Source organism: Homo sapiens, chromosome 7 (genome assembly GCF_000001405.40).
Source record: "Homo sapiens chromosome 7, GRCh38.p14 Primary Assembly".
Lineage (NCBI taxonomy): Eukaryota > Metazoa > Chordata > Mammalia > Primates > Hominidae > Homo > Homo sapiens.
In genome coordinates this window covers 4,547,899-4,570,087 of record NC_000007.14, presented here as the reverse complement: position 1 = coordinate 4,570,087, position 22,189 = coordinate 4,547,899, and the positions used below count along the sequence as shown (strand labels likewise).

The 22,189-nt window shown below is 44.7% G+C and overlaps 1 long non-coding RNA gene across 1 annotated transcript in view; it reads right to left on the bottom strand.

Moving 5' to 3' along the window:
* Positions 1-371: 371 nt before the first annotated feature.
* Positions 372-22,189, bottom strand: part of LOC105375133 (uncharacterized) — a 35,973-nt gene continuing 14,155 nt past the window's right edge. The window contains exon 3 of the long non-coding RNA XR_926999.3: positions 372-511. This is a non-coding gene — a long non-coding RNA (uncharacterized LOC105375133). The remainder of the gene's footprint in view (positions 512-22,189) is intronic.

The window sequence follows — 22,189 nt, the reverse complement described above, 5'->3', positions numbered from 1 at the left end:
CAGGGTGCGCGTCAGAGTAACTGCAGGCCACAAGTAATAAGAAGGTGAAGTGTCACACCTGCAGCGCCCACCAGGATTTTTTTTTTGCCACCATAGACCTCCTAAGTACAGGGAAGAAAACCAAGAATGAGACTTCGATTTTCATGTGCACCTGTCTACAGCCTCTTTTGTTTCCTGTTCAAGTTCACCTTGAGCAAACTGCCCAATTCACCATTCCATCTGCACCCTTTCATACCACTTTTGGATGAATGGACCTGTGCATCCAGCTTTGACAAGTGTTTTCTGCTTCCAAATAGGAGCGTGATCTTACACGTCGGAACGACTCAGGTGAGAAGAGTGAGTGGCAGGCACCAGCCTCCTACCTTGATGTTCTGATGAATTGAGACCCCAGCTCATCCATCACTTCTTCAGCTGTCAGGAGAACTCTGATATCTGGAAGATCTCTTTTTCTTCCACAGTATTAGAGAGTCAAAAAACAATCCTTCCACAGCGTCTGGCATGAGCTCTGAACCTGCTAGGAAAATGGAACTGTGAAATGCAGTGTAAAGATGCGTTCTGAGATACAAAGACAAACGGATGCGTAAGGAGTGCTGGAGGGATGTGGGTGGGAGATGATCGTGGTCTCTTGACTATAAAGCTCAGAAAGGAGGCAGGTGTGGTGGCTCACACCTGTAATCCCAGCATTTTGGGAGGCCCAGGCAGGAGGATCGCTTGAGTCTAGGGGTTCAAGATTAGTCTGGGTAACATAGCCAGACTCCATCTCTTCAAAAAAATAAAAACATGGGCAGGCATGGTGGCTCACGCCTGTAATCCCAGCACTTTGGGAGGCCGACGCGGGTGGATCATGAGGTCAGGAGTTCGAGACCAGCCTGGCCAAGATGGTGAAACCCATCTCTACTAAAAATACAAACGTTAGCCAGGCATGGTGGCTGGTGCCTATAATCCCAGCTAGTCGGGAGGCTGAGGCAGAGAATTGCTTGAACCCAGGAGGCAGAGGTTGCGGTGAGCCGAGATGGCGCCACTGCACTCTAGCCTGGGCGACAGAGCAAGACTCTGTCTCAAAAAAAAAAAAAAAAAAAAAAGAAAAGAAACTTTAGCTGGGTGTGGTGGTATGTGCCTGTAGTCCTAGCTACTTGGAGGGCTGAGGCAGGAGAACTGCTTGAGTCCAGGAGGTCAAGGTTGTTGTGAGCTAGGATTATGCCACTGCACTCCAGCCTGGGAGACAGCGCGAGACCCTGTCTCAAAACCAAAACCAGAGCCAAACCAAAATAAAAAGAGCTGAAATTAGCCAGGCATGATGACACATGCCTGTAGTCTCAGCTGCTCAGGAAACTGAGGCAGGAGGATTGCCTGAGCCTGGGAAGTCGAGACTGCTGTGAGCTATGATTGTGCCACTGGACTCCAGCCTGGGCAACAGAGTAAGACCTTGTCTGTAACCATTCAAAAAAAAAAAAAAAGCTCAGAAAACATTTGGAGGTGGCGACTTCATTGAGAATCGATCAGGCAGCTATAGAGTAGAAGCATTCACAGGAACTAGCCTCCTACTATAATGCCCCTCCACAGAAACACTATAATCAGTGTGGAGTAACAACACCAACCTACAGAATAATTCAATAATATAGAATACAACACTGACCTATAGAGGTGCTGTAGATATTTTGGGGCTGCTGGGAGGCGTTGACCTTTGAAGAATTAGAATTAGAAAATGAGAGCAATGGGATTGTCTTTTTTTCTTTCTTGTTTTTTTTTTTTTGAGACAGGATCCTGCTGTCACTCCAGCTGGAGTGCAGTGGTGCAATCACGGCTCACTGCAGCCTCACACTCCCGGGCTCAAGCGATCCTCCTGCCTCAGCCTCCCAAGTAGCTGTGACTACAGGTGTGCACCACCATACCTGCCTAATTTTTTATTTATTTGTAGAGATGAGGGTCTCGTATGTTGTCCAGGTTGGTCTTGAACTCCTGGTGATCCTCCCATCTTGGCCTCCCAAAGTGCTGGGATTACAGGTGTGAGCCACTGTCCCCTGCTGAGACTTCCTTTTGACAAGAGAGAGTATCATTCTGATGGGCTAGAGATGGGCTGGAGCAGAGAGAATCAAGGTCACCAGCAGGGCACCACATTGCTCCAGGACGGCAGGATTGGAGGGTGTCTGACCTCTTCTGTCTGAGCGCTTCTCAACCTGCAATGGCATGTCTTCTTGGGAGCTTCAGCTTGACCTGGTGGTAAAGTACATCAGAAGAGCATTTTTTTTTTTTTTTTTTGAGACAGAGTCTTGCTCTGTCACCCAGGCTGGAGTGCAATGGTGCTATCTTGGCTCACTGCAACCTCTGCCTCCTGGGTTCAAGCGATTCTCCTGCCTCAGAGTAGCTACAGGTGTGCACCACCACGCCCAGCTAATTTTTTTGTATTTTTAGTAGAAACGGGGTTTTACCATGTTAGCCAGGCTGGTCTTGAACTCCTGACCTCAGGTGATCCACCCACCTCGGCCTCTCAAAGTGCTGGGATTACAGGCATGAGCCACCGCACCCGGCGTCAAGGTCTTCTTAGTATGGAGATGGATGTGCATGGTTTGGTCATGGTAGCCTAGCTGTCTGGGTCCCACCGGCAAGAGTATCTCCATCACGGGATGGAAACATCAGGATGGCTGCTGGACCTTTGACCCAATGAGACCTCTTGTTGAGATTTGGAGCTTGCCCCATTGCCTTCTGATCTGCACAATGGGGAGAACATGCTGCTCATGTTGGCCTTGGGAATTTCAGTTCTTTCTTCAATGATTTCTCAATGCAATTCCATAGCATCTTTCCTCTCATGCAAGGAGATACAACAGACAGAAAGAAATATTTCTGATCTGACCATTTTGATTCTCATCACAGATGAGTAACAGATATTCTGACATCTACTCTGACTCTTGAACATTGCAGGTTTGTTACTCACTGGTCACTTCCAGAGACCAGCAAGACATACAGACTTGGGCAGGTTACTTACCCTTTTGGAACCTTACTTTTCTCATTTGTTAAATGGAACTAATAACTCTAACCACAGAGGCACAGAGGTAGGAGAAAACATAGCCTCCTTGAAGAAACAGAAAATAACTCATTGTACCAGGAAAGTAGACTTGAAGTTGGGAAGCAAGGCCAGATCATGTTGGGCTTTGTAGACAATGGTCTACATTCATATATGGTTGCGCAAGCTGTGCACTGCACAATTCCAGACGGTGCTACTGGATAGTGTACAATGAATTTGGAAGTCTTTCTTCCTACCTTATTTTTTAGACAATGTTGTATAAAATTGGTGCTAATTTGCCTTTAAATGCTTGGTAGTATTCTGTAGTGAAACTCTCTGGAGCTGGAGATTTCATTTTTGGATGTGTATTATTAATTTTAGATTTTTTCTCTTCTAATGGAAGCATTTAGTGTTAAAAATTCCCTCGCTGGACTGCTTTAACTGTTTCTCACATATTTTGCTATGTTGCATTTTCATTTTCATTCACTTCTCTCTATTTTTTATTTCCTTTGAGACTTTCTCTTTGACACATGGATTATTTAGATGTATGTTATTTAATTTCCAAGTGTTCAGAGATTTTCCTGTTACCTTTCTATTATTAATTTCTAGTTTGAGCTCATTGTGGTTGGAGAACATACTTGGTATCATTTCAGCTCTTAAATTTGTTGGGGTTTGTTCTGTGACACAGGTCAGGATATGGCCTATCCTGTTAGGTTCTCTGTGTTTGAAAAATATGTGTATTCTGTTGTTGGGTAGAATGTTCTATACATGCCTATTAGATTCTATTGGTTGCTTGTATTGTTCAGTTCTGCCATAATCTTGCTGATTTTCTATCTCTTGGTTCTGTCAATTGTTGAGAGTGTAGTTAGTGTTGAAGTTCCTGACTATAATTGTGTATTTATCTATTTTACCTTTCAGCTCTTTCAGCTTTTGCTTCAGGTATTTTGACACTCTGTTGTTTGGTGCATACACATTTAGGATCATTACGTCTTCCTGGTGGATTTAAAAAAATAACTATGTAAGGGCCCTTTTTGTCTTTAGTAAGTTTGTTTTGAAGTATACTTTATCTGACATTAGTGTAGCTACTCCTGCTTTTTAAATTAATATTTGCATGATTTTATCCTTTTACTTTCAATGTCTGTGTGTCATTGTATTTGGAGTAAATTTCTTGTTGACAGCATATCATTGGGTTGTGATTTTTTTTTTTGAGACAGGGTCTTGTTCTGTTGCCCAGGCCGGAGTGCAGTGGCACAATCTTGGTTCACTGCAACCGTAGCCTCCTGGGCTCAAGCGATCCTCTCACCTCAGCCTCCTGAGTAGCTAGGACTGCAGGTGCATGCCACCATGCCCAGCTAATTTTTTTTTGTTATTTTTCAGAGAGGCTAGGATTTGCCATGTTGCCAGGGTGGTCTCAAATTCCTAGGCTCAAGCAATCTGCCTGCCTCAGTCTTTCAAAGTGCTAGGATTACAGGCATGAGCCACCGTGCCTGACCTGGGTTGTGATTTAAAAAAAATTCCACTCTGCCAATCTTTATCTTCTACTTGGCATTCTTAAGCCATTTATATTTAAGGTAATTATTAATATGGTAGGGTTTAGGTCTGCCAATTTGTTATTTGTTTTTTATTGGTTTCTTCTGTTTCTTGTTTCTCTGTGCTTCTTTTCTTGCCCACCTTTGGGCTACTTGAACATTTTTAGAATTCCATCTTGATTTATTTATAGTGCTTTGAGTGTATTGCTTGGTATAGTTTCTTAGTGATTCTCTAGGTATTACAGTATGCCAATGTAACTTACAGTCTATTGCTATCAATGTTCTACCACTTCAAGTGTAGTGTAAAAACTTCTTTTTTTAAATTTTATTTATTTTTTTTGTGCCAGGCTAGAGTGCAGTGGCATGATCCTGGCTCACTCCAACCTTCACCTCCTGGGTTCAAGCAATTCTCTTACCTTAGCCTCCTGAGTAATTGGGATTACAGCCATGCGCCACCATGCCCAGCTAATTTTTGTATTTTTAGAAGAGACTCAGTTTCACCATGTTGGCCAGGCTGGTCTTGAACTCCTGACCTCACGTGATCTCCCTGCCTTGACCTCCCAAAGTGCCTGGATTATAGGCGTGAGCCACTGTGACTGGCCTTAATTGTTTCATTTTTTTTTCATTTGTCTGAAGGGCATTTGTAACTGCTCGTTATAGCATTTTAATGATGGCATCTTTAAAATCAGACAATTCCAACATCTGATTCATGTTAGCATTGACAACTGTGGGTGATCTTTTCTTAATCTTGTGATTTTCCTGGTTCTTGGGATGATAAATAACTTAAAAATTTTATCCTGGAAATTTTGGCTGTTATATTAAGAAGTACTGGGTTTTATTTGAAATTTCTTTCTCTCTCTCTCTTTTTTTTTTTTTTTTTTGAGACAGAATCTCGCTCTGTCACCCAGGCTGGAGTGCAGTGGTGCAATCTCCTGCAACCTCTCCCTCCCAGGTTCAAGTGATTCTTCTGCCTCAGCCTCCTGAGTAGCTGGGACTACAGGCATGCGCCACCACGGCTGGCCAATTTTTTTTGTCTTGTATTTTTAGTAGAGATGGGGTTTCACCATATTGGCCATGCTAGTCTCAAACTCCTGACCTGGTGATCCACCTGCCTTACCCTCCCAAAGTGCTGGGATTACAGACGTGAGCCATCACACCAGGCCTTGAAGTTTCTATTTTAGCAGAGAGTCAACCTGTTTAGATTTAGCCGACTTTGTGGCTACCTTGCCCGGTAACAATTCAGTTTTCAGAGCCTATGCTGTGCTGTTTTGGCCTGCTTGGCTCATCTGGTGCTGTGGGGGTTCCCACTGATCTCTGCTGGTGCCACATGCGGAAGTGGAAGGCACTTTCCCTGGTTGGGTCACCTGGCACCTCTCTATGGGTGAAGGAGCTCTCTGGCCCAGTGGGGATGAAGGGCACCCCTCCAGCTTGAATCTTTTGTTGTTGACAGGCTCCCAACCCCACTGGGGCCATTGGCACACAAGCTATCTTTATGTGGAGGAAGAGAGTGTGCAGGGACGAATGATAATTTCCCAGTCTTGACTGGACCATTTGGTGTCCTAAGTGGGAGAAAGGAGCCTCCACTGGGATAAAGAGCACTTCCCAGGCTGGGCAGTTTGTTGTAGATGGGATCCCCCTGCTGGTGCTAGGGCGATGTGGTGTTGTTGGCAGGAAATCTTTTTTTTTTTTTTTTTTTTTTTTTTGAGATGGAGTCTCACTCTGTTGCCCAGGCTGGAGTGCAGTGGCATGACCTTGGCTCACTGAAACCTCCACCTCCCAGGTTCAAGTGATTCTCCTGCCTCAGCCTCCAGAGTAGCTGGGATTACAGGCATCTGCCACCATGCCTGGCTAATTATTATTATTATTTTTTGTATTTTTAGTAGAGACGGGGTTTCACCATGTTGGCCAGGCTAGTCTTGAACTCCTGACCTCAGGTGATCCACCTGCCTCAGCCTCCCAAAGTGCTGGGATTACAGGCGTGAGCCTCTACGCCCGGCCAGGACTTCCTTTTGATCCAGGGGAGGAACGTGTCTACCTAGTTTGTCTTCTGCTGTTAGGTTGGGGGTCAGGGGACACATGAGGTTTGGATTGTCACCAGTCACTGGGTGGGGCACTGTGAGATGTGGGGACACTCTCTTGTTCCTTCAGTCCTGAGATCCCTAGGCAGTCTGCCTTCCTCTTTCCACTTTCCAGAGCCCACTTATAGACTACTGTTTTATGTCCAGGACTTATACTTGTATTTTGTAGGAAGAAGAGGCAGAGTTGAGTCTACACCATCTTCTGTGAACTGCAAATCTCCTATTTTCAACTACTTAACAAAAAAATGTCTTAAGCCAGGCACAGTGGCCCATGCCTATAATTCCAGCACTTTGGGAGGCCGAGGTGGGCTGATCGCTTGAGCCCAGGAGTTGGAGACCAGCTTGGGCAACGTGGCAACACCCTGTCTCTACAAAAAAAATACAAAAATTAGCCAGTTATGATGGTACACTTCTGAAGTCCCAGCTACTCAGGAGGCTGAGGCAGGAGAATAACCTGAATCTAGGAGGCAGAGGCTGCCTTGAGCTGAGATCACGCCACTGCACTCCAGCCTGGGCAACAGAGTGAGACCCCATCGCTTAAAAAAAAAAAACAAAAAAACTTAGCAGGGCATGGTGGTGCACACCTGCAATCCCAGCTACTCAGGAGGCTGAGGTGGGACGATCACTTAAACCTGAGAGGTGGAGGTTGCAGCGCCCCGAGATTGCACCACTGCAACTCCAGCCTGGGTGACAGAGTGAGACCCTGCCTCAAAACAAAATGAAAAAAAATCTTCAGACTGAGGCAGGAGGATTGCTTGAAACCAGGAGTTCGAGACCAGCCTGGACAACATAGTGACACCCCCATCTCTGCAAAAAATTAAAACAATTAGCCAGGCATGGTGGTGCATGCTTGTAGTCCTAGCTGCTTGGGAGGCTGAGGCTCTAGGATGGCTTAACACTTGAGGCTGCAGGGAGCTATGATCGCACCACTACACTCCAGCCTGGGCAACAGAGTGAGACCATCTCTGAAAAACAACAACAAAAGTTTGTCTTCACCTATTTCATTTTGTTTGACCTTCTTCTTTCTTCATGAAACATCCTTTGCCAGGCTTTCCTTGTCTGTTCTCCTGTGTCTTCCCTGTAATTTGCCCTTTGTTTCTAAAATGATTTCCAATTTTTTCTCTGAGCACTGTCAATTTCTTTTTCATAATCTCTAAGCTCTTATATTTCACGTTTGTGTTGTTCTTTCAAAAATTCAATTATTTTCTTAATTCGTTTTAGCTCACGTTGAAATCTTGGGTCTCGGCTTTCAGCTGCTTTGCGCTTCATTTGCCTGGGATGTTTTCTCGTGTGTTGGAAAGTTAAGCTGTTCTTCCATGTCCTTTTTATTATGGCACCTTTGTGTGGAGGTCAAGCCTATTCCTTTGCTGTCATTCATTGTTGAATGGGATGGTTTTTCTGGAAAATAAGCAAGAGATTCCGCTACAGTGGGGAGTGGACAAAGGTAGCCTTCGGAAGAAGCTGTGTCTCAAGGGCTCCCTCCTCTGTTATTAACACAAAGGGATCAAAATAGAGCCTCTTGGGGGCAGTATCCTTTCTGGCTTCCAGAGCCAATCCTGCTGCAGCAGGGCTTCTCTGTCCATCCATGTTTCAATTTGGACTCTAAACAGGTCTTGCCTTCTAAGTAGAACAGTTGTCCTGGTTTGCCAGGGACTGTCTTGTTTCTTGTTCCTTCTTTTTCCTTCTTTTCCCTTCCTTCCTTCCCTCCCTCCCTCCCTCCCTCCCTCCCTCCCTCCCTCTCTTTCTTTCTTTACTTTCTTTTGTTGTTTTTTTTTTTGTGAGATGGAGTCTCACTCTGTTGCCCAGGCTGGAGTGCAATGGCACGATCTCGGCTCACTGCAGCCTCTGTCTCCTGGGTTCAAGCGATTCTCCTGCCTCAGCCTCCTGAGTAGCTGAGATTACAGGCATGCATCACCACGCCTGGTTAATTTTTTGTATTTTTAGTAGAGACGGAGTTTGGACTCCTGGCCTCAAGTGATCTGCCCGCCTTGGCCTCCCAAAGTGCTGGGACTACAGGCATGAGCCACCGTGCCCAGGCTTTTTTTTTTTTTCTAATTTAAATGTTTTAAAGAGATAGGGTCTTGCTCTGTTACTCGTGCTGGAGTGCAGCGGCATAATTGTAGCACACTGCAACCTTGAACTCCTGGGATCAAGCGACCCTCTCACTTCAGCTTCCTGAGTAGTTGGGACTACAGGCATGTGTCACCTTGCCAGGTTAATTTTTAGTTTTTATAGAGACTGGGTCTGGCTATGTTGCCCAGGCTGGTCTCGAACTCCCAGCCTCAAGCAATTCTCCCTCCTTGGCTTCCCAAAGTGCTGGGATTACAGGCATGAGCCACTGTGCCTAGCATCTTCCCTCTTTTTATAAGGTCATCAGTCATACTGATGTAGGGCTCACCCTCCTCCAGTGTGACCTCACCTTACTAATTAGATTTGCAAGGACCCTGTTTCCAAATATGGTCCTTTTCTCAGGTCCTGGGGGTTAGGACTTAAACCTATGAATTTTTGGAAGGACGTGATTTAACCCATAACACCCTGGGACATATTAGTGAGGAGTGCAGGAAGACAGAAAATGAATTATCAGTAACAGAATCTTATTACATCCAGAAGTGTCTCCAAAATACACCCATGACTGCTCCATAAATATATACACTACCCCATAAATATATACAACTACTTTGCACCCACGAAAATTTAAAAAATTCAAAATACACCCATGACAAAAGTGTGTCTTTAACTACTTTTAAAATAGAAGGGAAAATACCCTCTTTGGACTTTACTTTCTTTCCCAACTACCAACCTATTTCTCACCTTCCCTCTACAGAAAAAGTCCTTGAAATCATTGTCTAAACATGCCTTATACAGCCTGGGCAACATGGTGAGGTCCCATCTTTAAAAACAAATAGCAAAATTAACCGGGTAGGGTGGCGTGTGCCTGTAGTCCCAGCTAATTGGGAGTCTGAGGTGGGAGAATCTCTTGAGCCCAGGAGGTTGAGGCTGCAGTGAGCTATGACTGTGCCACTGCACTCCAGCCTGAGCAACAGATCGAGACCTCATCTCTTAAAAAAAAAAAAAAAAAAGACCAGACAAAAAAAACCAGGTTCAGCTAAACTAAGCCAAACCAAAAAACCAAACAAAGCAAATTTCTTCAAATCGGACTCTGACAGCATAACCTTTCTTGTATGTACACGTGTTAAGATATGTCTGTTTTACTTTAGCCAGTTTTCACAGCTGAATAATCTAATACAAAAACACTTTCCAGATGGTTCAGTTTATATATAATTCAAAGTGCTAAACTATAAAGTAGGTTGCACAGATTCAGGAATACTGCCAAACGTCTGAGACAAAGGCAGGTGTACCCACTGGGTAATTCTCCTTCACCTTCTATTATAAACAATTCATACTCGATGCAAACAGTTTGAAAAAAAAAAAACCCAGAGAAAACACAAAAATTCACCATCTCTCTTACATCCTGCTACCCAGGAATAACCACTCCTAATATTTTGAAAATAATCTTAGGTTTTAAATGTATGTATACACCCACACATACACACATAAATTATACATACTGCAAATTGATGAATAATTACCAAATTCCATCCAATTATAAAATTATATATTTGTGTAAGATGACAAGACATACATATTTACAAAATTAATGGTGCATTCAGCAGGGTATTTTGAAGTCTGCTTTTTCTTTCACTCTGCAATATTTTATGAATCTTTTCGCATGGATAAATGCTCTTCCTCAACATCAGGTTTTTATTTTTTTATAGCTGTACCTATTGCATGAATTGTCCTTTTTTTTTCCTGTAAAGGAAAAATTTCATGTGCATTCTTTTTTTTTTTTTTTTTTTTTTTGAGACAGAGTTTTGCTTTTGTCACCCAGGCTGGGAGTGCAATGGCGTGGTATCAGCTCATTGCAACCTCCACCTCCTGGGTTCAAGTGATTCTCTTGCTTCAGCCTCCTGAGTAGCTGGGATTACAGGGGCATGCCACACCCGGTGCATGCCACACCCCCAGCAAATTTTTCTAGTTTTAGTAGAGATGGGGTTTCACCATGTTGGCCAGGCTGGTCTCAAACTCCTGACCTCAGGTGATCTGCCCGCCTCGGCCTCCCAAAATGCTGGGATTATAGGCGTGAGCCGCCACGCCCAGCTTCATGGGCATTCTTTATGTCCTGGGGCTTGTTTCCAATTCCTATCTCACTTAGTTCTTTTTTTTTTTTTGACAGAGTCTCACTCTGTCACCCAGGCTGAAGTGCAGTGGCATGCAACTCACTGCAACCTCGACCTCCCGGGCTCAAATGATCCTCCCACCTCACCTTTCTGAGTAGCTGGGGCTACAGGCGCACACCACCATGTCCAGCTAATTTTTAAATTTTTGTAGAGATGGGGTCTCGCTATGTTGCCCAGGTGTGTCTCGAACTCCTGGACTTAAACGATCCTCCCTGCTCTGTCTTCCAAAGTGCTGGGATTACAGAATGTGAGCCACTGCCCCGGCATCCTATCTCATTTGGTTCTCATATGACTGTTAAGGCAGTCTTATTGCCATTGCGTAGAAAATACAGCTAACAGAGGCTCTGAGAAGCTGTTTCTTGTACATGGAGTTAGAATTCATACTCAGGTCCTTTGACCAACATGCTCTTTTACCATATCCTGGCTGCCATTAACTCACAAATAAACTGAAATTCTCCAAAAGTTATCCTTAAGGCTATTTTCACTTCTAAAATGATCTTTGAATAAGTTAGAAGAGCCTGAGAAATCTCTTCAGACTTTCATGCACACTTTATAGGCAGATGATACTGGAAAGTACTATAGAAGGAAGCTTGATGTGCTGTAGTGATTTAATGTGTGGTTCTCAAACTTTGTTCCTTGGAGCCTGGGGTGCCACAGGAGTAGCTTGGTGCAAGGACTCCCTGTACAGGCCTGGTAGAGCTGGAAACTTTTCATCTGTGGGGGGTGGTTGTTGTTCTGTTTTAAAATTATTATTATTATGATTGTGGTTGTTGTTTTAAGGTTAAATTCACGTAACATAAAATTAGTCATTTTAAGTTGAACCGTTCCGTGGAACAATGTCTCACAATGCTGTGCCACCGCCACCTCTGTCTAGTTCCAATATGTTTTCATCACCCCAAAAGGAAAGCCCGTGCCCACAGCACTGTCTCCCCATTTCCCCTCTTTCCACCGCTGGCAATGCCATCGGCTTTCTGCCTCCATGGGCTCACCTCTTCTGGATGTGTTATTTAAACAGAAGCACAAAATTACTCTGTTTTTAAGAAGGGGTGACTGAGGCAGGAGGATCACTTGAGGCCAGGAGCTTGAGACCAACCTGGGCAAGAGAGTGAGACCCCATCACTACAAAATAGGAAAAAATTAGCTAAATTTTTTTCACACACCTGTGGTCCCAGCTCCTTGGGAGGCTGAGATGGCAGGATTGTTTGAGCCCAGGAGTTTGAGACTGCAGTGAACTATGATTGCACCACTGCACTCCAGCCTTGGGGACAGAGTGAGGCCCTGTTTCAAAGAAAAAAGGGTGAGGCCATGCAGTGGCTCCGTGGAAGCTCCGCAGGCTCCAAATCCTGGCCTGGCCACATCCCAACCGCCAGGGCAGCTTCCTGGTTCGTTACACACGCTCTATGCCTCTGCTCCAGATTTATTCTCACCTCCACTCAGCTGATCTTTTTTTCTATTTAGCAGCTCAACTTCTTTGCGGCTTCTGCTTCTTCCCAACTGTGCTTATTGAGGCTCCAACTCCACCTCCTGGCTTCTGATCCCACCCTGATTTTATGTGGACAATTTCTCCATTATTTCACACTCAAGCTCTGGAGACTAAGAGTCTGTTTCATGCGCTGTGGCTTGGGTGGCCCCCTGGTGGGTCAGCGGGTGCCAGAGTGGCTGGGTCCTTTGGTCTGTAGAGGGCTCGCTTCAGCGGGGGCTTCAGAGAGGGCAATTTCTCCCCAGAGGGGCTGGCAACGTGGCAGGCACTGCGATTGGTTCTGATCCCCACGTTAGGGAGGAAACAGTTGAGAGAGGACGGATGTTGGACAGACCTGAGGCTCATAGCCAATGATTCAGCCCTCTGAACTTCAGTTTCTTCTTCAGTAAAATGCAAATGACGTTCCTTCCCTTGCAGGGATCTTGTAAACATTGGAGGTAACATATGCAAACCAGCTGGGATGAGCAGGCATTAAGTGTCAGTTATTATTATAATATCAGGGGAAAGGAGAACATGGTATAAATAATTGTAATACTCCCTTACCGCTCCAGTCGTGCCCAGAGGCCGTATTTCCACCTGGCTCAGAGGGATTCAAAATGTCCCATAGACCAATTTCTTTAACAAAGGAGGTAGTTTTATGTGGCTGGTCAGAGGACACCTGCCAAGCTGTGTTGTTAAAGGAAACAGAAGAAGATGCCAGACAGCGGGTGTGTGCATGGTGGCCCGCCAACTGCACAAAAGAGAGAAAGAAAGAAAATGTGGGCAGAGTGCTCATTTTATGAGGCCAACATCATCCTGATGCCAAAACCTGGGCAGAGACATAACGAAAAAAGAAAACTTCAGGCCAATATTCCTGATGAACATCGATGCGAAAATCCTCAGTAGAATACTGGCAAACCGAATCCAGCAGCACATCAAAAAGCTTATCCACCACGATCAAGTTGGCTTCATTCCTGGGATGCAAGGCTGGTTCAACATATGCAAATCAATAAACGTAATCCATCACATAAACAGAACCAATGACAAAAAGCACATGATTATCTCAATAGATACAGAAAAGGCCTTCCATAAAATTCAGCATCACTTCATGTTAAAAACCCTCAACAAACTAGGTACTGATGGGACATATCTCAAAATAATAAGAGCTATTTATGACAAACCCACAGCCAATATCATACTGAATGGGCAAAAGCTGGAAGCATTCCCTTTGAAAACCGGCACAAGACAAGGATGCCCTCTCTCACCACTCCTATTCAACATAGCACTGGAAGTTCTGGCCAGGGCAATCAGGCAAGAGAAAGAAATGAAGCATATTCAAATAGGAAGAGAGGAAGCCAAATTGTCTCTGTTTGCAGATGACATGATCCTATACTTAGAAAGCTCCATTGTCTCAGCCCCAGAAACTCCTTAACCTGATAAGCAACTTCAGGAAAGTCTCAGAATACAAAATCAATGTGTAAAAATCACAAGCATTCCTATACACCAACAATAGACAAGCAGAGAGCCAAATCATGATTGAACTCCCATTCACAATTGCTACAGAAAGAATAAAATACCTAGGAATACAGCTAACAAGGGATGTGAAGGACCTCTTCAAGGAGAACTACAAACCACTGCTCAAGGAAATAAGAAAGGACACAAAGAAATGGAAAAACATTCCATCCTCATGGATAGGAAGAACCAATATTGTGAAAATGGCTATACTTCCCAAAGTAATTTATAGATTGAATGCTATTCCCACCAAACTACCATTAACATTTTTCACAGAATTAGAAAAAACTACTTTAAAATTCATATAGAGCCAAAAAAGAGCCCACATAGCCAAGACAATCCTAAGCAAAAAGAACAAAGCTGGAGGCATCATGATACCTGACTTCAAACTATACTACAAGGCTACAGTAACCAAAACAGCATGGTACTGGTACCAAATTAGATGTATAGACCAATGGAACAGAACAGAGACCTCAGAAGTAAGACCACACATCTACAACCAACTGATCTTTGACAAACCTGACAAAAACAAGCAATGGGGGAAGGATTTTCTATTTAACAAATGGTGCCAGGAAAACTGGCTAACCACATGCAGAAAACTGAAACTGGACCCTCTTCCTTACACCTTATACAAAAATTAACTCAAGATGGATTAAAGACTTAAATGTAAAACCCAAAACCATAAGAACTTTAGACGAAAACCTAGGCAATACCATTCAGGACATAGGCATGGGCAAAGATTTTATGATGAAATTGCCAAAAGCAATTGCAACAGAAGCTAAAATTGACAAATAGGATCTAATTAAACTAAAGAGTTTCTTCACAGCGAAATAAACTATTATCAGAGTGAACAGGCAACCTACAGAATTGGAGAAAATTTTTGCAATCTACTCATCTGACAAAGGTCTAGTATCCAGAATTTACAAGGAACTTAAACAAATTTACATGAAAAAAAACAAACAAACAACTCCATCTAAAAGTGAGCAAAGGACAGGATGAACAGACACTTCTCAAAAGAAGACATTTATGTGGCCAACAAACATGTGACAAAAAGCTCAACATCACTGATCATTAGAGAAATGCAACTCAAAACCACAATGAGATACCATCTCACACCACTCAGAATGGGGATTATTGAAAAGTCAAGAAACAACAGATGCTGGCGAGGCTGTGGTGAAATAGGAATGCTTTCACATTGTTGGTGGGAACGTAAATTAGTTCAACCATTGTGTAAGAGAGTGTGGCAATTCCTCAAGGATCTAGAACCAGAAATACCATTTGACCCAGCAATCCCCTTACTAAGTATATACCCAAAGGAATATAAATCATCCTATTATAAAGATACATTCACATGTATGTTTATTGCAGCACTATTCACAATAGCAAAGACATGGAACCAACCTAAATGCCCATCAATGATAGACGGATAAAGAAAACGTGGTATATATACATCATGGAATACTATGTAGCCACAAAAGGGAAGGAGATCATGTCCTTTGCAGGGACATGGATGAAGCTGGAACCCATTATCCTCAGGAAACTAACATAGGAACAGAAAACCAAACACTGCATGTTCTCACTCATAAGTGGGAGTTGAACAATGAGAACACATGGACACAGGGAGGGGAACATCACACACCGGGGGCCTGTTGGGGGGTGGTGAGGGGAGGGAGAGCATCAGGACAAAGAGCAAATCTATGCCAGGCTTAAGACCTCGGTGACAGGTTGATAGGTGCAACAAACCATCATGGTACACGTATGTAACAAACCTGCACATTCTACTCATGTTTCCCGGAACTTAAAGTAAAAAAAAAAAAAACAGAAAATATGGGCAGAGTGCTGTGGGGAAACTAAGACCTGGATATGACATAAAGCACATGCAAAGTGCTTTGCACACTGTGGAGGGCTACACAAGTAATGCAAGCAGTTAGAATTTCTCAGTGGGGCTATTCCAATGGTACTGTGGGCTCTGCAATAGTCAATTTCATGTGTCACATTGACTGGGCCATGGGGTGCCCAGGCTAGGTGTGTCTGTGAGTGTGTTTGTGGATGAGATTAACATTTGACTATGCGGACTAAGTAAAGCAGATTGTGCTCCCTAATGTGGGTGGGCCTCATCTAATCCGTCAAAGGCCGAGATAGAACAAAAAAAGCTGACTTTTCCCTGAGTAAGAGGAATTTCTTCCTGCCTGACTGCCTTTGAGCTGGGATAGGGCTTTCCCCCTGTCCTTGGACTTGAAATATCAGCTCTTCAAGGGTTTTGAGTCTGCCAGCATTCAGACAGAAATTACATCATCAGTTGTCCTGGTTCCCAGACCTTCAGACCCAAACTGAAACCCCAACATCAGCTCTCCAGAATCTCCAGCTTATTGACTCATCATGTAAATATTGGGACTTATTGGCTTCCATAATCACATGAGCCAATTCCTTATAATAAATCTCTTTCTCTACATATATCTGATCAGTCCTGTTTCTCCAGTGAATGCTGACTTTAGTACAGGCTCTTCTGGCCATGCGTTTTATAACCACTTCATTAGGATGTCCTGCAGGAGAACTCCCCTCCCTGCTACAGAGGTTGTGATGAAAGGGCAGGAGATCTAGAAGTGTGGATATGTTCCTTCATTTCACAAAACATCTCCCAAGGTGCCTGTGAACCAGAGCTGACATTTGGGTGGAAGACCTCTCTTTTCTTGCCTGCAGCTGACACTACATTCTGCAAGATTTTTGGTTCCTGACATTTCTCCTGAGGTTCCTCAACTCATTGTTTCCAACTTTTTGACAATTTGACTATAATGTTCCTTAAAAAGGATCCTTTAGGGTTAAATCTATTTGGGAACCTTTGAGCTTCTGGATGTTTACATCTCTCCCAAGACTTGGAAAGTTTTCCCCTATTTTATTAAATATCAGATGTCTTTTCTCATCTCTTCTTCTGAACTCCCATAATGCAAATATTTGTTCACTTTATGGTGTCCTTTAAGTTCTGTAGGCTTTCTTTATTTTTTGAATTCTTTTTGTTCTGCTTTTTTTTTTTTCCCAAAAGACCTATCTTAAAGTTCAGAAATTCTTTTTTCTGCTTAATCTAGTCTGTTGTTGAAGATCTCTCTTGTATTTTTTATTTCATTCATTGAATTCTGTAGCTCCAGGTTTCTGTTCGGTTCTTTTTTATGACATGTATCTCTTTGTTGAATTTCTCATTTAGATAACTAATTGTTTTCCTAAGTCTGTTGAATTGTCTATCTACATTCTCTTGTATCTCACAGTTTCCTTAAGATCATTATTTTGAATTCCTTTTCTGGCATTTCATACACTTTCTTTTCTCTGGTGTCTGTTAGAGAGAATTATCATGCTCCTTAAGAGGTGTTATATAGCTTGCTTTTTCATGTTTCTATGTCCCTGTATTGATATCTGCATATCTGGTGAAACACTTGCCTCTTTCAATTTTATGGAGTAGCTTCCATAGGGGAAGACTTATTCTTGTAGATGGGTCCTGTAGAGAGTCAGTTGTGTAGGGTATGTTGGCCGTGGTTCCTGGTGGACACAGTAGTGTAGTCTCTGGGCAGTTTCTTCAGTTGGAATCCACTTAGTGATGTTTGCAAGTGCCTCAATGGCCTAGGTGGTGGCAGTTTGCGGCAAACTGGTGCAGCTTTGCTGGGGGTGGGCTCATTAAGCTGGTTCTCAAGCCGGGGGAGTGTGCATGTGGTGGTTCAGCTGGCTTGGAGACTGGGTTTCTGCAGGTCTAATCTGCATTTTATTTATTCTTGAGACAGTGTCTTGCTCCGCCACCGAGACTGAAGTGCAGTGGTGTGACCATAGCTCACTGTGGCCTTGAACTCCTGAGCTCAAGCACTAATCCTCATTTTAAGCAGTGTTCCAGATGACACTGAGGCAAGGTTCCCCAGTTCACACTTTGGGAAATGCTGTAATCTCCCTCTTTAATGAGTTCATAGGTGGAATGTTTGCTTTCCACCTGATGGGGAAATTATGACTGCCTAAAGTTTGGTGGCTTGAGGAGGCTGTGTCAGCCCCAGGCTTGGTGGCTGCCTTCAGTATCTTGAGCTGTTAAAACTCTTTGTAAAAAACCTAAAATATATTACCAGGGCTCAGGACAAAAGACCAATGCCAAAGATGATAGACAACTTGCTTTCCCCATATTTCTTGCTGAACATCCTTCTGCATCTCATGGCAGTTACTATGAAAGCAATCCTTAGGCTGGGGGATGTAGGCAGTGACAGTCCTACAGTGGTATCCTGGAAAGTGCTCAACAACTGGCTTGTTGGGGAAATAGCCTGATTTGTAGCATTTGCTAATTCCCATGGTGTAAACATTCCCACCATGGTTGATTTGAAGCCATCTAGGTGACATCATAAGAGTCAAAAAAGTTTCTTAGCTGGAGGTGGGAGTCTGACCCATGAGGAGAGTCTCTAAGCTGAGGATAACTCTCCCGGGGTCAATTCCATCTTCAATTTGCAGAAGAGGGGCAGATAAACTTATTCATTTAACAAATATTTACTGAGCACCTACTGTGTGCCAGGCATGGCTACTATGCCCGTGAGACAAAATGATAAACAGAAGTCCAATTCCTGACTGCAATGAACTAGAGGTCACCTGCTCAGGGCCTGGGATCAACAGAGCCTTTTAACAGGGTCTCTTTGGACATACTTCACCCCCTTCAGGAGTAGGTGTTCCTGTGCTGTGAACCCCTGCTCAAAGCCACAGAACCTGCTTGAGCTCTGAGTTTCTCCAAGATGGGGACCCTACCTTGCCCCTTCTTGGCGTTTCTATAGTTGCATCACCTAGTGTTGAACCTTTTGATGACCACTGAGGATCTACTTTCTAGAATATTCCCTCTCTGCCTGCAGTCCAATGCTGTATTAGTTTCCTGTGGCTATTCCCTCAAGGAAGAAGGAATTCTGCCTTCAGACTGCAGCATAGAAATTCTGCCTAAGTTTCTGGACTTTGAACTTGAGCTGCAGCATCAACTCTTCCCGAGGACTCAAACCTGCTGGCCTGCCCTGTGGATTTCGTATTTGTCAACTCCCACAATCACATGAGCCAATTCCTCAAAATGAATCTGTGTGTGTGTGTGTGTGTGTGTGTGTGCAGCCTGTCGGTTCTGTTTCTCTGGTGATTCCTAATACACCCCCTTTCTCTTTTCTGTCCTCCACCTTCTCCACCTTTCAGTATCCTGCTCTTAGGCAGGAATAAGTCAGGAATGTGCAGACAATCTTGTTCCCAGTAGAAGCTAACAAGGGGAATTACCAGCATGTAATAGAAGCAGCCATGACAAGCCTCACGCTCTCTAGTTGCCTGAGGTTTGCAGAGCGCTTAAAAAAATTTTAGATTCAGGGGGTACATGTGCAGGTTTGTTACACGGATATATTAGTAATGCTGAGGCTCGACCTTTTATCAAAACCATCGCCCAAATAGTGAACGTAGTACTTAATAGGTAGTTTTCCAGCCCTTGTCCCTCTCCTCCCTCCCTGCTTTTGGAGTCCCTAGTGTTTGTTATTTTCATCTTTGTGCCCATGTTTACCCAATGTTTAGCTCCCACTTATAAGTGAGAACATGAGGTATTTGGTTTTCTGTTTCTGGGTTTATTCATTTAGCATAATGCTCTCCAGCTGCATCCATGTTGCTGCAAGGGACATGATTTTGTTCTTTTTTATGGCTGCATAGTATTCCATGGTGTATATGTGCCAGCTTTTATTTATCCAATCCACTGTTGATGGGCACCTGGGTTGATTCCATGACTTTGCAATTGTGAATAGTTGCAGAGCACTTTTCAGCACTGGGTCAAGTCTGTAATGAAGGCCAAAGTTATTCCCATTGAGCAGAAAGAACTTGGAGTGAAGGAGTGGCCCCTGTGGATGGGAAATGGCAGGTAAGAGGGAGAGGGTCTAGGCTGGGCCCTGAAGGACTGTGAAAGTTGGAGGAGAGTCCCTCCTTCTGGAGGCCCTGGTGAGCTGGGGAGGGCTGGGATCTGGCCACTCTTCAGTTCAGAAACTCCCAGTGTTTCCTCACCAGGAGGAGTTTGGAAGAGGTCCAAACTCGTTCTCCCTCCTCTTCCTCAGTTTCACCCCATTCTAATCCCCCTCCCCCAATGTTCTTTCAGGCACACAGAACCACTTGGTGTCCCAGACATGCCATGGTGGGCATCTACACTTTCCCCATGCCCTCCTCTTGGCCCAGGACACAACCTGTCTGACTTTGCTTAGCTTGGCTAAGCCCACTGGTCTTCAGGACTCAGCTGTGCTGACCTCCAGACAAGCTGCCATGGCCTCCAGCTGGCTCCAGTTCCTCCACTGGGCTCACACATCTTTGGCATCTGCAACCATGTCCTGATGTGGCCGTTTATTTACTCATTATCTTCCCTGTGAATAAGCCTGTGAACTGCCTGGAAGGCAGACACTGGGCTTTCTTATCTAGGCAAACTTCCCCACAGCATGGGACAGTTGCTGTTCCAGCCCAGGCTGGGCACTGGGCCACACACAGGCCCCTGACTACTATAGCCACAGCACTTGGCAGGCTGGGCTGGGGAGGGTGAGTTTTTTTTTTTTTTCCTTCTTTCCTTCCTTCCTTCCTTCTCTCCTCCTCCTCCCTATTCTTCTTCTTTCCCTCCCTCCCTCTCTCTCTCCTCTTCTCTTCTCTTTCTCTCTCTCTTGCTTTCTCTTTTCTTTCTCTCTTTCTGTCTTGTCTCTTCTTGAAACAGGATCTCACTCCGTTGCTCAGGCTACAGTGTAGTGGCTTCATCATGGCTTCCTCCAGCCTCGACCTCCCAGTCTCAAGGGATCCTCTCACCTTGGCATCCCAAGGAGCTGGGACTATAGATACCATGACCATGCCCAGCTAAGTTTTAAATATGTTTTTCTGTAGAGACAGGTTCTTGCTATGTTGCCCTGGCTGATTTCAAGCTCCTGGGCTCAAGAAATCCTCCTGCCTCAGGCTCCCCAAGTGTTGGGATTAGGGGTGTGAGACACTGTGGGGCCCAGGGGTCAGTTCTTGAGCACACTCTGCTCTGTGCCTCGGTTGCTGCTGCCGCCACACCTTAGTTAGGTAACAGGTTTCCCACAAGTAGCCAGAAGCTGCAAGAGACAGGAGACCTGGGATGGGCGTCAGGTGCTGTGTGTGCCAGGCCAGGCTCATCCCTACTTCTGTGAACCATAGAATGGTGCAGGTTTAGAGAGTGACCCCAGGGGAACTGTTGCAGAGCGGTCACCTGAAATGTCACCTGAGGAGGTGATGTTTGAGCAAAGCCCTGGGTGATATTAGGGAGTGAGCCACATGGGGTTCTGTGGAAGATCATTCTAGAGACAGAACTGCAAGTGCAAATGCCCTGGGCCTGGCTTGAGCTGGCAGGCTAGAGAAACTGAGGCAAGAATGAGGCGGGGAGGAGGAGAAGAGTGATGTGAATTAACCTGGGGAGGGTGGCATGGTCAGACCATGCTAGACCTGTGATTCTTAGTAAGGAGGTGGGCTTTATCCTAATAGGAGCCATTGACACAGTTGGAGTGACAATGTTGGATTTGTATTCTAGGAGGTCCCTTGGCTGCTCTGTAAAGAGCAGGTTGCAAGGAAGTCAGAACGGAAGCTGCTACACTTTCCCAGGAGCGAGAGGATGGTGCCCTCGGTTACCATGGTGGCCTTGGAGATAGTTAGCCATGGAGAGGTGCAGGGCCTATCTTGGAGATAAAAAATGACAGGGTTTGGATATGGCAAATGGCTGAATATGAGAGTGAGGGAGAGGTTGGCATCTTGCTCTACATCCTACCTCTGTGACCTTGGGCAAGTTACTTAACCTCTCTGTGCTTTCCGTGCCTGTAAACTAGTTAACAAAGCACTTAGCAAAAAGTAGGCACTCAGTGCATACAAGTTTCCTCTTCCCAACCCATCACATACTCCTCGACCAGAGAGTAAGCTCTCTTGGAAAGTTAGTATTCTGTGCATTTATTTATTTATTACAAGCATGCATTAGCTGGGCGTGGTGGCTCACGCCTGTAATCCCAGCACTTTGGGAGGCCGAGGCGGGTGGATCACCTGAGATCAGGAGTTGGAGACCAGCTTGACCAACATGGCGAAACCCCACCTCTACCAAAAATACAAAAATTAGCCGGGCGTGGTGGTGGGCGCCTGTAATCCCAGCTACTCGGGAGGCTGAGGAAGGAGAATCACTTGAACCTGGGAGCCAAAGGTTGCAGTGAGTGGAGATTGCACCACTGCACTCCAGCCTGGGTGACAGAGTAAGATTCCGTCTCAAAAAAAAAAAAAAAAAAAAGCATGCATTGAGCACCTACTGCATGCCAGGCACTGCGTTAAGTGCAGGGGTGTAGAGACAATTAAAACACAAGCCTTGCCCTCAGGGAGCTCCCATGCTG